Source organism: Homo sapiens, chromosome 3, assembly GCF_000001405.40.
Source record: "Homo sapiens chromosome 3, GRCh38.p14 Primary Assembly".
In the NCBI taxonomy this organism is placed as follows: Eukaryota; Metazoa; Chordata; class Mammalia; order Primates; family Hominidae; genus Homo; species Homo sapiens.
In genome coordinates, this window is record NC_000003.12 from 59,106,024 (window position 1) to 59,123,343 (window position 17,320).

Below are 17,320 nucleotides of genomic sequence, written 5' to 3' on the forward strand. Positions count from 1 at the left end.
TCTATAGAGTAGCCATTCTTTATTCCTTTACTTTCTTAATAAACTTGCTTTCATTTTGAAAAAAAAAAAAAAAAAAAAGAGCAAACTGCTGTAAGAGTAAAAAGAAAGCTCCAAAAAGGGATGAAACTTTCAGAAATATGAAGAGAATCCATAAAAACCTGTGTTGACAGTTCTAGACACAACTGCTACTTTCAATGTCTAGTTTCCAGTTTCTTTGAGTAAAAATGATTCATCATGCCAAACTTCATGCCAAGCCTTCTATCAACAAACTGACCCTTTAGAATTCAGTAAAGTAAGAAGGCCAAACTTTGCAAACTTTATGCAACCTTTCAGGACACTGATTAAATAAAAGCATGAAGAAGGGCTTTGAAATTCAGTTTGTAAAGGCTATTTGACCAAGGAGGGCAATATATTGAGCAAATATTTGAATATGTGGTAAAGTAGCACAGGCACAGTCAAGTGAGACTGGTGGTAAAACAGAAACACATTGCTAACAGAAGAAGATTCTTCATAACTTCTTGCAGTATCCAAACTCATGTTACTGACGTGTCCCACTGTCATGTCCAGCTTCAGGCAATATTGTCCTTGTTTTAGTCCATTCCTATTGCTATGGAATAAGCAATAGGAATTCCTGTTGCTATGGAATAAGCTATGGAATGGACTAAGACTATTGCTATGCTAAAATACCTTAGACTGCGTAATTTATAAATAACATAAATTTAGTTCTCATAGTTTTGGTGGTTGGGAAGCCAAAGATCAAGGTGACAGCAGATTCAGTGTCTGTAAGGACTCATTCTTTGATTCCAAGATGGCAACTTGTTACTGTATCCTCCCAAGGGGACAAACACTATGTCCTTACATAGCTGAAAAGATGGAAGGGCAAAAAGAGCCTAGCTCATTCCCTCCAGACCTTTTATAAGGCACTGAGCCCATCCATTAAAATGGAGCCCTCATGGCCTCATCACCTCCTAAAGGACCCGTCTGTGAACACTGTTGCATTGGGGATTTAGTTCCGGCATGAATTTTGGAGGAAACACGAATATTCAAACCACAGTGGTCCTGAAATACCACAGACCATTAAGTTCTAGTAGAAATACAACATAAGCCACATAAAAATGTTTAGTAGTTACATTAAAAATGGTAGAAAGAGATAAAATTAATTTTATCAATATATTTTGTTGACCCCAGTATATCCAAAACATTATTTCGATATATAATCTTGTAAAAAATTATTGAGAAATTTTACTTTTTTTTTTTTTGCCAAGTCTGAAATATGCCATTTCTTTCGTACTTACAGCACACCTCAATTAGGACTAGCCATATTCTAAGAGCTCAATAGCCACATGCATGCGGCTAATGGCTACCATATTGGATAGTACAGTTCTAGTCATATATAAAATATCCTGTTTTTAGGAGTCTCCATAGGAGATAATTCTTCAACTTTTTTCTGGGACCCCATTCCAGTTTTCAGTGATGCTCTAAAAATGCTCTCAAATGTACCCTAAGTCCCTATTGCCAGTGTTTGACTGTTTCATCTCATGCTGTTATTATACAATAAATATTTATTGACTCCCTACTATATACTAGATTTTATGTTAGGTGTTGGGATATAATGGTGAGCATCAATACTGTGCTTTCTGCTTTAAGGTGCTTACACTAATATACAAGAGAAATATTAAACAAATGAGCAAATTAAATCTGTACTTGTGACATGAATTAGTATGGAAAAGTTCCGTGAACTATGAGAATTTGTAACAGGAGGACCTCTCTTACTCTGGAGGGACTGAGAAGCTTCCCCAGTGAAGCAGTCTTTGACTTGAAATCAGAGCCTCTTGTGTCAGGGCTCAGAGGCAAGAAAGAGTTTGCATTTTCAAGGAACTAACAGGAGGATGATGTGGCTCCAGTGGAAAGAGCTAAGGCAAGAATGATTCAAAATGAGGTAGGGGAGTTAGTCGGAGACCAAACACATGTGACTTTAGGTCATATTAAGGACCAGGATCTTCTGCCAAAGAGTAACAGAAACCACTGTATTACTGGATTTACATATTGGAATATCACTCTGTTGTAGACTGGAGAATGGATCTGAAGGGAAAAGGGTGAATGTGAGAAGACCTTTCAGGGAGCTACTTTTTAATCCAAGTAAGAGAACTGAGGCAGTGACTGTCTAATGGCATAAACTGATGACCTTGAGACATATTTAGTAAATAAAACTGCTAGGACTCTGACTGACTGGGTGGAGGAGACTGCAGGAAATGGGGAAGAGGCGTGTCCAAGCTGACTCCTGGCTTTCTGACTCGTTCAAGTAAGTGGATGTGCATGTGTTGCTTCTTAAAGAGAGTTCTCTTAGCTCTCCTCTGGATAGAAATTTGAGGGTAAGGTATTCCTCATCTAAAATAAAAAATACAGTGTTAATTTGCCTGTCATTTCTTTCTTGAATCAGAATGTAATTCTTTGGTGTTAAGGGTAGGATGTTATAAAGAAAAAACATTAACCATGAGCTTCTGTCCATCTGTTAAGCTTTACTTACTGAATAATCACTCAGTAAATAAACTGGATGAATCACTTAATGATTTTACTGTTTTGAAAGCTAGTGTATGTTTTCTTATAAATTAAATAATCTTTCCGTGACAGACAGTATTATTGCCGTAGTACTGTCATGAGTATTATGACAGTCTTTGCAGAGGAAGGAAACAATCAAAACAATCAAAGGAATACAATCAAAGAACAATTTGTCTGACCTTGAAGTTTTGTAAACCAATTAAGAAACCACAACAATAAAGCTTTTATTTTTCTTTACAATTGGTTTGCACAGATTCATAATTATTCGTAGCTAATCATTAAAAATTACATCTCTTTTAAAATTAGTTATTAAATATGTAACTTACTTCCTAATCAAAGTCAAATCACATGAAGACTTCAAATTGCCAGATAATTCAAAATAGTTGGACACTGACAATCATGTTCATTCATTTATTCATTCATTCATGGGATAATAATTAAGTGTCTAGATACTTAACACAATAGACAACCCTTTAGGGGTTTACAATATAGTGGTGAAGGCATAAATGAATAAACACATAAATAAATAAATAATGCATTGTCAGTAGTGATAAGTATTATTATTAAAAACAGACAGGGATAAAAAGCCATAGAGCTGGGTGTGGTGGCTCACACCTGTAATCCCAGCACTTTGGGAGGTGGAGGTGGGCGGATCATGAGGTCAGGAGATCGAGACTATCCTGGCCAATATAGTGAAACCCCATCTCTACTAAAAATACAAAAATTAGCTGGGTGTGGTGGCATGTGCCTGTAATCCCAGCTACTCGGGAGGCTGAAGCAGGAGAATCGCTTGAACCCAGTGAGCCGAGATCGCGCCACTGCACTCCAGCCTGGCAACAGAGTGAGACTCCGTCTCAAAAAAAAAAAAAAAAAAAAAAAATCACAAAAGCCATAGAGCAACGACAAGAGCTGTCTTAGCTCCACCATGAAGAAAGATCTCTCAGTATGGGAATATTTGAGCAGTGCCCCAAGGAAGTGAGGGAGTAATCTGGGAAAATATCTGGCATAAAGAGCCTTTTAGGCACAGGGAAGCAAGTGCAAAGATTCTGTGGTGGGCATCATGCATCTTCCAGGAACAGCAAGGAAGCCAGTGCTGCTAAGCTACAGTGAGAAAGGTGCTATAGTTTGGATATGGATTGTCCCCGACAAAACTCATGTTGAAATTTGATTCCTAATGTCGTGGTATTGGGAGGTGGGGCCTAGTGAGAGGTGTTTAGGTCACAGGGGTAGATCCCTCATGAATGGCTTCATGGTATTCTTACAATAGTTAGTTCTTACTCTGGCAAGACTAGCTTAGTTCTTATGAGAATTGATTAGTTGCTTCAAGAGTGGGTTGTTATAAAGCCAGGGCATCCCTTTTGTTTTCTCTCTTCACATGTGTCTGCTTCCCTTTTGACCTTTTCCACTATGCTGTCACCACAAAAGCCCTCACCAGAAACCAGAACTCTCTCCTTAGACTTCCCAGCCTGCAGAACCATGAGCTAAATAAACCACTTCTCTTTAAAAATTTTCCAGTCTTGAGGCGGAGGTTGCGGTGAGCTGAGATCGTGCCATTGCACTCCAGCCTGGGCAACAAGAGCGAAACTCCATCTCAAAAAATAATAATAATAATAAAATAAAATAATAAAATAAAGTGTCCCAGTCTTAGGTATTCTTTTATAGCAACACAGAACAGACTAAGACAGAGGGAACAATGGAGGAAATGAGATCAAAAAGGTTATGAAAAGTCACATTATAATTCTTAAGGTCATATAAAGATTTGGGTTTTTATTCTAAGTATGATGGGAGGCATTTGGAAGGTTTTGAGCAGGAGAAAGATTTCAGTTTAGATGCAGCGTATATAAGAAAGAAGATAATCAGCCATGATTCCTAGGTTTTTGGCCTGAGCAATTGGATTCATGGTGACACTAATTGAGGTGGTGAAAACAAAGGAGGAATGAATTTAGAGAAGAGATCAACATAGTTCGGTTTGGAGCATGTAAAATTAGAAATTGAACATTCAAGTAGAGGGTAAAACTAAAAAAACTCTTTATTCTAGTATTATGTGTAGTAGCAAAACATTGGGCTTTCCAAATATTCATCAGTAGAGCATGCACTTGTTAAATAACCTTCATTATAGCAGCACAGTAAATTATGAGTTTGTAAAGAGAATAAGGTATATCTTCTATAGAGGATCTTTAGTATATGTATTATATATGAAGAAAAGAAAGGTAGAGAAAAGTAGTATGTATTGTATGTTACCACTTTTAAAGGGTGGACGTTGTGGTTTTGGTATGTCTCACAAAGTCTATGTATTGAAAGGTTAATTCCCAATGCAGCAGTGTCAAGAGCTGGGACTATTAAGAGGTGATTAGGTCCTGAGGGCTCTGCTCTCATGAATGAATTAATGTCATTATTGTGGGAGTGGGTTAGTTATCACAGAGTGGGTTCCTAATAAATGGATGAGTTTGGCCCCCTTCCTTTCTCATGCACATGTGATCTCTTGCCCTTCTTCCTTCTTCCATGGGATGACGCAGTAAGAGGGCCTTCACCAGATGTGGGTCCCTCAACCTTGGACTTCCCAGCCTCCAGAACTGTTAAGAAATAATTTTATTTTCTTTATAAATCACTCAGTCTATGGTATTCTGTTACAGTAACACAAAACAAACTAAGACAGGTGAGGTAAAAATACATCTATGTTTGGGCCAGGTGCGGTGTGGCTCACGCCTGTAATCCCAGTACTTTGGGAGGCCAAGGCGGGCAGATCATGAGGTCAGGAGTTCAAGACCAGTCTGGCCAACATAGTGAAACCCTGTCTCTACTAAAAATACAAAAAATTAGCTGGGTGTGGTGGTGTGCACCTGTAATCCCAGCTGTTCAGGAGGCTGAGACAGGAGAATAGCATGAACCCAGGAGGCAGAGGTTGCAGTTAGCCAAGATCATGCCATTGCACTCCAGCCCAGGCGACAGTGCAAGACTCCATCTCAAAAAAAAAAAAGAAAAAAGAAAAAAAAAGAAATACATCTATGTTTGCATTTATAATATATAGTTACATAATACATTTATTTGATGATAAAACATATTGATTATTCTTTAGGAGGGAGAAAATAGTGTGAAGGAGACAGAGATAGGAGGTAGATTTCCCTGAACATAATTTGACTTTTAGATTTGACTTTGTAACAATGTAAATATTTTATATAATTATAAAACAAAATAAAAATGATCCTAAAAATCAGAAGCAAACTAAAGCAAATGAATCTAAATGTATTGAGTTGGTGGCATACCCACAGAGAGGGGAATTATTTTAAGTAAGTTTAAATTATGGTTAACTATATTAAAGCTTTCTTTACATTCCTAGTGGATTATATCTAAAGGACCAACTGAAAAAACAAAAAGGACAAAATAATCTTAAACTGTTTTTGGTAATCATGTTATCGATGGTAATGTAAGTGCTGTTCTCAAACTGAGGAGTATATATTGTGGGATAAAGTAAATAGGATATAATATGATAATGAGATGCTGCAAGCTGGGACATTTGGTATAGGATAAAAGAGATACAGATAGAAGTAATAAGATTGATGAGCTTAAGAAAAGTTCTACAGTCTTGGATTTGAATTGGAAGTATCAGTATGAACACGTGCTCTATTTTATTGCTTTGTAAAAAGTATGTTGTAGCCCTTTCCCTAAAATAACCTGAAAAACAATGATAACCTCACAGCAGTGAACACCTCTACTGTCCTAATTGTGGTCTCTGTATCTTCATTCTCATTAAAAGGAACCAGAATTTGATGAGTAAATGGCAGATTCTAGAATCTAGGGCAAAAAGTTTACAAGATAAGCCTGGAACATCTTGTCCTACCAGAAAGTAAGCTAAATATTAAAAACAACTGGGATTGTGACAAAAGGGTGCAGGAATCATCTTGAGCAGGTTTTTTTTCCTGGACAAAATCTGGAACACTTTGAACATAATTAGGAAAATAATAGCAGCAAATTGAAGCATATGAAATAGGTTTAAATTCATGAGTTTATAATGATAGCAAAGAAATTATTGGTCACTTTTGGAAAATTCTAGGTAATCAACTCATTGTTCTGGAAAAAAAAAAAGCTAAGAATATTCTTTGTTTTTCGTTTTTTTTTTTTTGAGATGGAGTCTCACTATGTTGCCCAGGCTGGAGTGCGATGGTGTGATCTTGGCTCACTGCAACCTCTGCCTCCCAGGTTCGAGTGATTCTCCTGTCTCAGCCTCCCAGATAGCTGGGATTATAGGCGTGCGCCACCATGCCTGGCTAATTTTTGTATTTTTAGTGGAGACAGGTTTCAGCATGCTGGCCAGGCTGGTCTTGAACTCCTGACCTCAAGTGATCCACCCTCCTCGGCTCCCCAAAGTGCTGGGATTACAGGCATGAGCCACTACACCCGACCAAGCTAAAAATATTCTTATCTTTCCTTTCAAACTATATCCCTGGGTAACCAAATATTTGGTGAGGAAAAATGTCTACTTATGGGTATTCCAAAGAATAAATGAAGAAGGTGGAATTTGAATATCACTATTTTGCAATCCTAACAAGTTAGTGGATCTCGGCAGTGATCACCAATTGTTGCTGACATCCCATACAAAGAATCAACTAGGCATTATTTGCCTTCTGATGGAAATATGTGACATACCTTATGAGCTATTCTTGCCAAAAAATAAACCCTCTGGATCTAACAACCAACTTACAGGACATACTAGATACAGAAGAACATGTTGAATCACACCACTGGGGATGTGATCAGCAAAACCCGTACTGTAGGATACTCCAGAGGGGAATAAATGTCACTGCATGAACAAATTCACTGTAAGAAAAGTAAAGGAGAAACAAGAGGGGACAAATATCAACCACCTGTAGGTACTGGCCTTATTTGGGTCCTGGTTTTAACACACAAAAAAAGATGAGGGGAAAAGACAGAGAGAAAGAGTCAGGCAGTGCTTGTAGAATTTCAACACCTGTAGAAACTCGAACATTGACTGAATATTTGATAATATTAAGGAATTATTATAGACTAGAAACAAGACACACAAGTAGTAATGGGCACATCTAGTACCCAGATCTTAGTTTCCAAATATCATTTCTTAGTAAAGGAATCAAGTTTCTTTGGAAAAAACGACTGATGTCAGTGAAAATACAAAGAAGTCTGGTGCTATAACACAACTGTTCAGGGACTAATGGAGATGTGAACAATCACAGAAGCTGAATACAATGGCCTTCCACTGTGAAAATCTGGGACAATTTGAGCATCAAAAAATTATGAAAGTAATAGATTATAGCACATTGAATAAAAGAAATTTCTGAGTTCATGAGATATTTAAAGAATGAAAGAGAAATAGAGAAAGGGAAATATGAGGGAAAGCTCTTATTTGGAGACAGTAGGAGCATAAATATGTCAGCCAATAAAAGTAGAAGGAATTGCAGAATTAGGAAATCTTTCTTTTGCAGTTATCTATGTAACACTTGAGCTTGGCAAAGACTGTTGATAGAAGCTATAACTATTGGATCAAAGTTGTTGGAGAATAGAGTATTCACATGATAGTGAAATACCTTCTCACAGATAAACTGCTAATTACAAAAAAATGTATCTTCAGCAAGTGATTACATTTACTTTTGTGAGGAAAGGTACTGATACCAATGACGATAGTATTTCAATCTTTTTTTCAGATGCAAGTACATATCACTTATCCAGTGTTCTTACAAAAAAGATGTTTCAACTGAATCTAATAATGAGGAAATAATCAGACAAATCCATTATATAGAGTGATCAGTAAGACAACTGGTCTAGACTCTTAAAACTCAATGTCATAAAAAACAGATAATGTAAAAATGCTATTCTAAATTAAAAGAGGATAAAGAGACATAACAAGGAAATGCAATGGGTGAAACTTGATTTGGATTCTAAGTGTGGAGAAAATGCTATAAAAGACATATTGGAGGCTTCTGGGGATATATAAAGACAGTATATTAGGTGATGTTACTAAATTATCAATTTTCTAAAAATGGTCATGGCATTGTGGTTATATAGGAGAATATCTTTACTCTTAGGAGATGCTGGCTGGAATATTTAGGGGTAAAGTATTACAGTGTCTTCAATTTGCCTTCAAATAGTTCTTAAAATATCTGCATGTGTATATACATGTATATATGTATTAAGAGAGACTAAAAATGTGGCAGAATATTAAAATTGATGAAACATGGTGAAGGTATACAGGCATTTATTGTCCTGAAGCTCTGTATATTTTTTCTGTAGATTTGAATATTTTTTCTAATAAAAAATTGAAAAAAATGAAAGAAAAACAAACAGATCACTTAGCTTAAAAATTTTGTGTTTACTTAGAGCTTATTACTATGCATTAATTTTCAGTCTTTTAATGTAGGACCGAGTGCTTCTCTTTGAGTAAAGGATTGAAGTTCTGTGTCTATCTTGCATAAATCACTTTATAATTATAAAGATGTCCATTTTCAGTAACTGTAATATGAAATAAAGTCACCTGCAAAGCAATGAATACAGAATTCTTCTAAATTTATTTTATTTTTCCCTTTAATCTTTTACCTTTATCTCTCCTGCAATTTCCTTTTATTGAATCTTTCCAAGGCATTCAGGCCTGTTTTTAGAGAACAAGCAACTCTTTCTTCTCACATTTACATTTCATCAGTTTACATATGTAATTAAATATTATAATTAAAACAAGTACAACTGATATTAGTAAGTCTGGGGACAAATACAGCAGCTCACTCTTGGCAAGTATACAACTCAACTGGTGGGTAATGAAGAAGTACATGGATTATAAGAGATTAGCCTACCAGTTGCCAGTTTTTAGTGGCTATAGTATCCAGTTGGGATATTTTACAGTAAAACTGTAGACAGTTGCTTAACCTGGTAGATTGCTTGAGTAGAAATTAGTTAGAAAAGTTCTACTATAGTGAAATACTCACTAGGCCTATGTTGCAACACGATTCCAAATTGCTCATATACAGTGAAATTCTGCCCATAGCTACACGCCCTGGTCAAATTACTTTATGAATATTCTCTTCTGTTTAGATTAGTGCCAAGGCCCTTCCCCCAGTCAAGCTAAATAAAATGGCTTCAGACCCCATAGCAGTTACAAATGGGCACATTTAGGTTACTTTTCTTTCCTTTTATTCTGTGACTCACCCCCATCCCCACTAATATGAAGCTGTTCATTTTGAAGTTATGTTATTTGGGTACTGGACCAGTATCTCCTGGGACTGTGGCATAGAATCATAAATTTCATACTTGTTAATTAGTAGTACTTGTGGACCATTTCTGAGACAACTACAATGAAATTCTGAGTCTATTGAAGCAGTATTGAACGGTTTAGCTTTCACTTTCAAAAAAAGAAAGGTTGCCTGCTTCGTGAGCCCTGAGAATGCTGTCCTGAGGAAGATGGGGGTCTGTTTCTTGTAAGTGGCATGCCAGACAGCTGGATTAGATTTCTGTCTCTGTTCATTGAACTCGCTGCTCAGCTCTCCAAGTAAAGGAGGATAAGAAAACTGTTGAGAGGGGCTTTCAGCAGATTTGTAAGCGCCAGCATCTTTCTTCTCTAGAGGATGCTGCACTTAAATGCTACTCCTCCCTTCGGGGCACCTTTCAGGTTCTGGCTTTTTCCAACGAAGCAAGAAACCCTAATTATTTCACTTTCAATCAATTCTGAAACCTCAAAGACCAAAATTGTCTCTTCAGATCCACTCAGATGCCAAAGAGAGGTGTGGAAGAGAAATTGCTGCACATCTACCAGCAGCTGTAGGACTCTAAGCCATCTTTTGCTTTTATTTTCTATGCAGCAGTCAAGCATTGTTGCTAACACTCAAATAAGTAAAAATAAAATGTTTCAACAAATACCTTGGAGAATAGGGTCGATTTTTCATTGAAAACGTCTCTACAGTCATTGTGACAGGCTTTACTACAATTCATTGACCAGTCCACTTCTTTTTTTTTTTTTTTTTTTTTTTTTTTTTTTTTTTATTTGGGACAGAGTCTCGCTCTGTCATCCAGGCTGGAGTGCAGTGGCGCGATCTCGGCTCACTGCAAGCTCCGCCTCCTGGGTTCACGCCATTCTCCTGCCTCAGCCTCCCAAATAGCTGGGACTACAGGCGCCCACCAACATGCCCGGCTAATTTTTTGTATTTTTAGTAGAGATGGGGTTTCACCGTGTTAGCCAGGATGGTCTCGATCTCCTGACCTCATGATCCGCCTGTCTCGGCCTCCCAAAGTGCTGGGATTACAGGTGTGAGACCAGTCCACTTCTTATACCAGGGAGAATTGTACTCCCTCCACCCCGAAAGTCAGATGTGATCATGGGACTTGACTTTGGCCAGTGAACTGTGGTGGATGTGTTTAATTTCCAGTGCTCGAATTTCTGCCTCTCTCTTCTCCAGCCTATCAAAAATCTCACTTCATAAAACCTTTGAGGATAAACCACTTCAGACTGTCAGTCTGACTGTTTCTTTTACTAACTTTATCTGAGTTATTACCTATTTATACACATATATCAATTTACTTAATAGAGGTTTTTCAGAAAGAAAATACACATAAATGGAATTTTTAATGTTTCCTATGCCCAAAGGAAGTCTTAGTAAATTATTTTATACAGTAAATATATCGGTATGCATATTTCCTCCATTTCATACATTGACTCTGTTTAAAGCAGAGCACACCGAATATTCTTTCACCAGATATTCTTTTTCCCTTAGCTGTAGCATCTTTTCTAGAAGTTGGCTATTTCACTTGTCAAACAAATGTTTACTGAGCACTTGCCACATGGAAGTCCTGGGTTCCCATATTTATGTGTAGCTGTAACTGTACCTAAATATTGTGGGTAGTTTGCTGCTGTGGACTGAATTGTGTCCCTCTGAAATTCATACGTTGAAGCCCTAACCCCAATGTGACTATATTTGGAGATGGAATGTGTAGGCAGTAATTAAGGTTAAATGAGATCATAAGGGTGGGGCCATAATTCAGTAGGATTGGTGGCCTTCTAAGAAGAGGAAGAGCGAGAGAGATCTTGCTCTCTGTCTTTCTACATGCACATACCTAGGAAAGAACACGCAGGCACACCCAGGAAAAGAGCCCTCACCAGCATTTGACTATGCTAGTGTCCTGATCTTAGACTTCCCAGACTCCACTGAACAGAATAAATTTCTGTTGTTTAAACCACCCAGTCTATGGTATTAATGGCAGTTCAAGCTGACTAATACATTTGCCAAATCAAAAAATTTTACAAATAAAATCCTTGTGAATCCTGTAAGAAATAAATCAAGGGCAACAAAATTAGAACTATATACAGCTGACTGTAAACTTATTAAATTTGCAATCCTAAATTCTTATTAAATTTGAAAAAATATAAGTCTAATAAAAGACTCAGATAAATTCATGGATGTCAGATTTATGATGGTATATTAAAGGAAACCAGATTTTCAACCTTGTAAGATAAAATGGGGGAAAACAACAAATGAACCAATGCAATAACTCATCTGTTTATTAAACAAGTGCTCAGGACTGCCCTTAGACAATATGTCTCAAGGTATATAGACCAAGGCTACCTGTGTCAGAATCATATGGTTGTGCCTGTTAGATATCCAGTCTCTGGCACCTTGCCACAGTCATACTCAATTTCTTAGAGCTGAAGTCTGGGAATCTTCATTTTAAACAAGTTCTGTAAGTGATCTGTAAGCACACTAATAACAGAGATAGCCTACTTTAGGCATTGTAGGCCTGCATAAGAAATATTAGTCTTTGTTCTTGCAGTGAGATGCTTACAGTTAATATGCATGAAATAGAAGGTGAATCAAGATGGGATGTGATCAAGTGCTCAACTGTGTGATACAGAGTGTAATGTAGTATTTTTAGAAGAAGACATCAGCAAAGAACAGAAAATAGCTACTAGAGATCTGTTCACAGCACTCCAAGAGCTTAAAGGGGGAACTAGAACAGTGGACCAGAGGAGCCCGGAGTCAAGGAGGCTCTGAGAGGCCATCATCTGAAGAATAAAGAGGCTGTTTCTCTTCAGCACTTTTAAGAAAAAGACAATGTCTTTGTTTGTTATTGTTAAAGTTATTATTTCACAAGGACATAGAGCACAGATAAGAGATAGGAGTGAATGAAAATTTTTAAAAGACAGAAAAAAGATGAGAAGTTGGATCTGATGAGACTAGAAGTATGCTAATTTGCCCTGGGCAACCTCTGGAGGCTCAGCTCTTGGAAGAACCAGGTATTGCAGAAGTTTGGGGAGAAGTATAAGTAGAGATAAAAGGAGAAGGAACATAAGTGGGTGGACTTTCCAAATCCCCTCATCTCCACCAGGCAACAATCCTATCCTCTTGTCTTTCAGGAACAACTGACTTTCCTCTAGAGGATTTGAACTGGAGGAGGCTTGAAGTTGAACAATGGAACTCTCAGTACCAACTTCCCTTTACAGTCTGATCTCAGAAATCTGACAGCCAGTTGTATTCCCCCAGACCCTCTACCTTCACCTGTAAGTCTAAGTGGCAGGAATTTCGCAACTCCAAAAAGTGATGCCGAAAAATATTGGAGCAATGTCTTCAAAATTGTAAGAGTATACACCCAACTAAACTGTTGACAAGTAGCATAAAGGGTAGAATAAAGATTTTTCCCTGGCCAGGTGTGGTAGCTCACACCTGTGATCCCAGAACTTTGGGAGACCAAGGCTGGAAGATTGCTTGAGCCGAGGAGTTTGGGACCAGCCTGGGCAACATAGGAAGATTCTGTCTCCACAAAATTTTAAAAAATTAGCTGAGCGTGGTGGCATGCGCCTGTGGTCCCAGCTACTCATAGGGTGAGGCGTGAGGATCGCTTTAATCCGGGAAGTCAAAGTTGCAGTGAGCCAGGATGGTGCCACTGCACTCCAGCCTGGGTGACAGAGTAAGACCTTGTCTAAAAAAAAAAAAAAACGTATTTATCAACTATGGAAGTCCTCAAAACATTTGCCTTCTTAGGAAGCAAGTAGAAGATATACTTTAACCAAAATAAGGGGATAAACCAAGAATCATAAGGACACTGAATTCAGGAAACAGGGATTAGAACACGGGAGACCTGCAAAAGGATATTCAGGATGCAACTACACAATCAGGCCTAGAACGCAGCTGACAGAGATCGATCGGGACACGGGGGCTCAGGATGGAGGACTGTAGGTTAAAAAAAAAATGGAACTCATGTATCTTCTGAGTTTTTGAATCTTATGTGCATTCAGAAACCTACAAAGAGTCTGTGAGTAGTCCTCCGACCTTCCATTTCTTTTTACTTTCGTTGGCCCTGTGTAAAACAAATGTCATTATACTTATCTTTTTCTCTGTTTATGTTTTCATTTTTCATATGAGAAATATAATTTTCTTTTAGGAATTATATAATTAAAAAATTACAAGCGATTGAAGTAATTAGCACATAGTTTTCATATTACCATCTGAGTTACTTTCCATATGACCTAATTAAAAAATAAAACACAACAAACAAAAAAAGGCCCTACTAACATTTATATACAAAAAGGTAGGTAATTTCGTTACATTTTATTTACAGATATTTTTGAAATTTACTACATTATTCTTTAGATTGTTCGCTAACTTAGCTAATTGGAAGGACTGATTTTCCATTTTTGTGGGGAAAAAAACCCAATAACCACCATTTACAGGGAAGAATTTTCACTAGGCAATGTCTTAAAATAATTTTGAAGTGTATTTATTTACGTCTCAAATATGATTTCTTTCTAAAATGTTCAAAGTCTCATTTCCACAGCTGCAATTAAGTGACTTTTTAGGATAATGTTTCATTTGGCTGTATTATGTTAATAATCAGCTAGATGATATATATCTTTTTCATCTTTGTGTACTCATGAATTATTCAGAAGTGTCTCTTGCAAATGAAGAGTAGAGGAATTCAGTTTCTCTTCCCCAAAAAGGGTCAGACATGCTGTAGTTTAGAAGCAGGTGGGTGGTTCTTTCCTCTCTCTTTTTAAAAGTCATTTAAAATATATTAAAATGAACAGTAAATTACTTAAATATCCAATAATGAGAAAATGGTCAAGTAAACTATGATACATCTACTTGACAAAATGACACAACTATCAGAAACTAATGGTTGGAAAGACAACATAGCTGTATAGAAAAATGTTTGTGTCAAAAAAGTAAGTGGAAAAAAGCAAGATATAAAAATATATGTATACTACAATTACTGTTTAAAAATAGTCATAGGAAAAAATCCAGAAGAAAATACAGTAAAATAATAATCATGATCATAAAAGGACTATAGGTGACTTAGTTTTTCTCTACATTTTTCAATTTTCCCCTAAAATCCTATAGGGGATTTTAGGATGAGAAGAGACAAAACAAACCAACAAACACTTATTGAGTGACTAGTGTTTGCTAGAAGCTGGGCTGTGTACTGAGGATAAAAAGCTGAAAAGATATGCTTAGTGATACATAATACATCAGGTTTTCCCTGGCAATACCAAAATCACTGGTATATAATTGATGCAAATTAATTACTAGTGTGTAATTAAAATAAATTTCATCTGGATTTTATTAAGATGAAATATAATTAACTTCATTAAATGCTTAGTAGGTGCTTTTCATGTGTCCATCTAATCCACTCAACAATCATATGAGGAAGATAATTCTCTTCTTACCATCAGGAAACTAGGTCTCAGAGAGGCTATGCAACTTGTCCAAAGTGGCATAATTAATAAGATATTGAGCCTAGCTTGATTTAGAAGTCTATATTCAATCTTTTAACAACAATTTATTAAGCACTGACTTAATAAGTTGTTATAGATTAGGAAATTGTTCTAGGTAAGAGATACTGAAATGGACAAAGCAAAGTCTTTGCCTTCGTGGAGCTTACATTCCAGTGCAAGGCGACATAATCAAAAAGAAATGTCAAATGATATATTAGAAGCTAAAAAGTGCTACATAGACAAATAAAGCAGAGAAAGGGGACAAGCATGCACGGTAGGAAGGGGGGATTGCAATTCTAAATAGGGTGATCGGGAAAACCTTGCTAAGAAAGCAGTGTTTCAGTAGAGGCCTAATAGCGGTGAGGAAATGATCTAACTCTGAGAGAGGTCATTTCCGGCAGAGAGAGCAGTAAGAGTAAAGGCCTTGAGATGGGGGCACACCTAGAGGAAGAGTAAGAACAGCATGGTTAGAGCTGATGGGGCAGTAGGGAGAGTGGAGCAAAATGAGATAAAGGAAAATAGCAAGGAGTCAGGCACTTTGGGCATTGTAAAGCATTGTAAAGACAGAGGTCACTGGAGGGTTTTAAGCAGAGGAGTTGCTATAACTGATTTGGTTTTCAATGGATCCTGGCTGCAATGTGCAGAAAATCCTGTAGGGGATTTTCCGTAGGGGATTTTCCACCAAGATGGAAGCAGGAGACCCTTTAGGAGACTTAGTAGTGACAGATGATGGTTGATTGTGGCAGAGGTGGAGTAGAGGACTGTCAAAAACTGTGGGGACTTAGCTGGGTGTGGTAAGTGCCTGTTGTCCCAGCTACTCTGGGAGGCTGAGGCAGGAGGATAGCTTGAGCCTGGGAGGCAGAGGTTGCAGTTAGCTGAGATCGTGCCACTCCATTCCAGTCTGGGCAACAGAGACAGACCCTATCTTAGAAGAACAACAACAACAACAAAGAAAAAAAGAAAAGAAAAAGAAAAAGAAAAAACGGTCAGGACCTGAGTTTTACCCCACTACTTGCAAGTTAGCAAGTTAGCCTGGAACAGTTTCATGAATGCTGGTAAAAGACACATGAGACTTCTGGATTACAAAGGACTTTACTTCTCATGACTTAGCAGTCAGCAGAGCTTCATGATTATCTCTTTCTCCTTGTCTCTCAAGTCTCAATGAGGGGATGCAGAGTGGCCTGGGTGAATGTTGTGCATACAGTGAGTTTGTGTCACAACAGAGGGGCCCCAAGCTTAGGAAACCCCAATCTTTTATAATGGACTACAAGTAAACTCGCCTAACCTGTGATCTTTTTTATGAGGTGACATTATCTTTATTATACTGGAGGGCAAACAAACGACCACTTCTCCAGAGGGTAACACTATCAATCACTATCTTCCAAGGCTATTTGCTATACAGCCTCCTTGAAAAGATAGGTCAGCACAAAATTTATCAGCGCCTCCACTTGAAAGTTGGGTAGAAATAAACATGAAATACCCATGGAGAATTGTCTTCCAAAAAGGATGTAGTGTGAAGTGACTGAATTCTGGAAGTATTTTGTAGGCAGAACCCAGATCAGAGGTGGGATGTAAGAGAAAGAGAGTCCAAAAAGGAATAACTGAGGCTGGGTAATCTACAAGGAAAAGAGGTTTATTTGGCTCATGGTTCTGCAGACTGTACAAGAAACTTGGTGCCAGCATCTGCTTCTGGTGAGCGCCTTAGGCTGCTTCCACTCATGGCAGAAGGCAAAGGGGAACCACCACATGGAGAGAGCAGGAAGAGAAGGAGAGAGAGACAGAGAGAGAGGAGCTTCCTAATAAGCTCATGGGAAAACTAGTAGAGTGAGCACTTACTCATTACCAAGAGGACATCACCATGCTGTTCATGAGGGATCCGCCTCCATGACCCAAAAACCTCCCACTAGGCCCTATCTCCAACACTGGGGATCAAATTTCAACTTGAGATTTGGAGGGAACAAATATCCAAACTATATCACAGGCCATGGCCACCTTGGGGCTGACCTTCCAGAGAGGAAGACAGACCGAAAGCAACTAAGCATG

The 17,320-nt window shown here is 37.8% G+C and overlaps 1 long non-coding RNA gene across 2 annotated transcripts in view; it reads left to right on the top strand.

Moving 5' to 3' along the window:
- CFAP20DC-DT (CFAP20DC divergent transcript) overlaps positions 1 to 17,320 on the top strand; it is a 724,471-nt gene that overhangs the window by 19,184 nt on the left and 687,967 nt on the right. Inside the window, exon 3 of one of the 2 annotated variants that reach the window (XR_002959675.2) lies at positions 12,923 to 13,818. This is a non-coding gene — a long non-coding RNA (CFAP20DC divergent transcript). The remainder of the gene's footprint in view (positions 1 to 12,922; positions 13,819 to 17,320) is intronic. The other variant, XR_007095934.1, reaches the window with a different exon arrangement.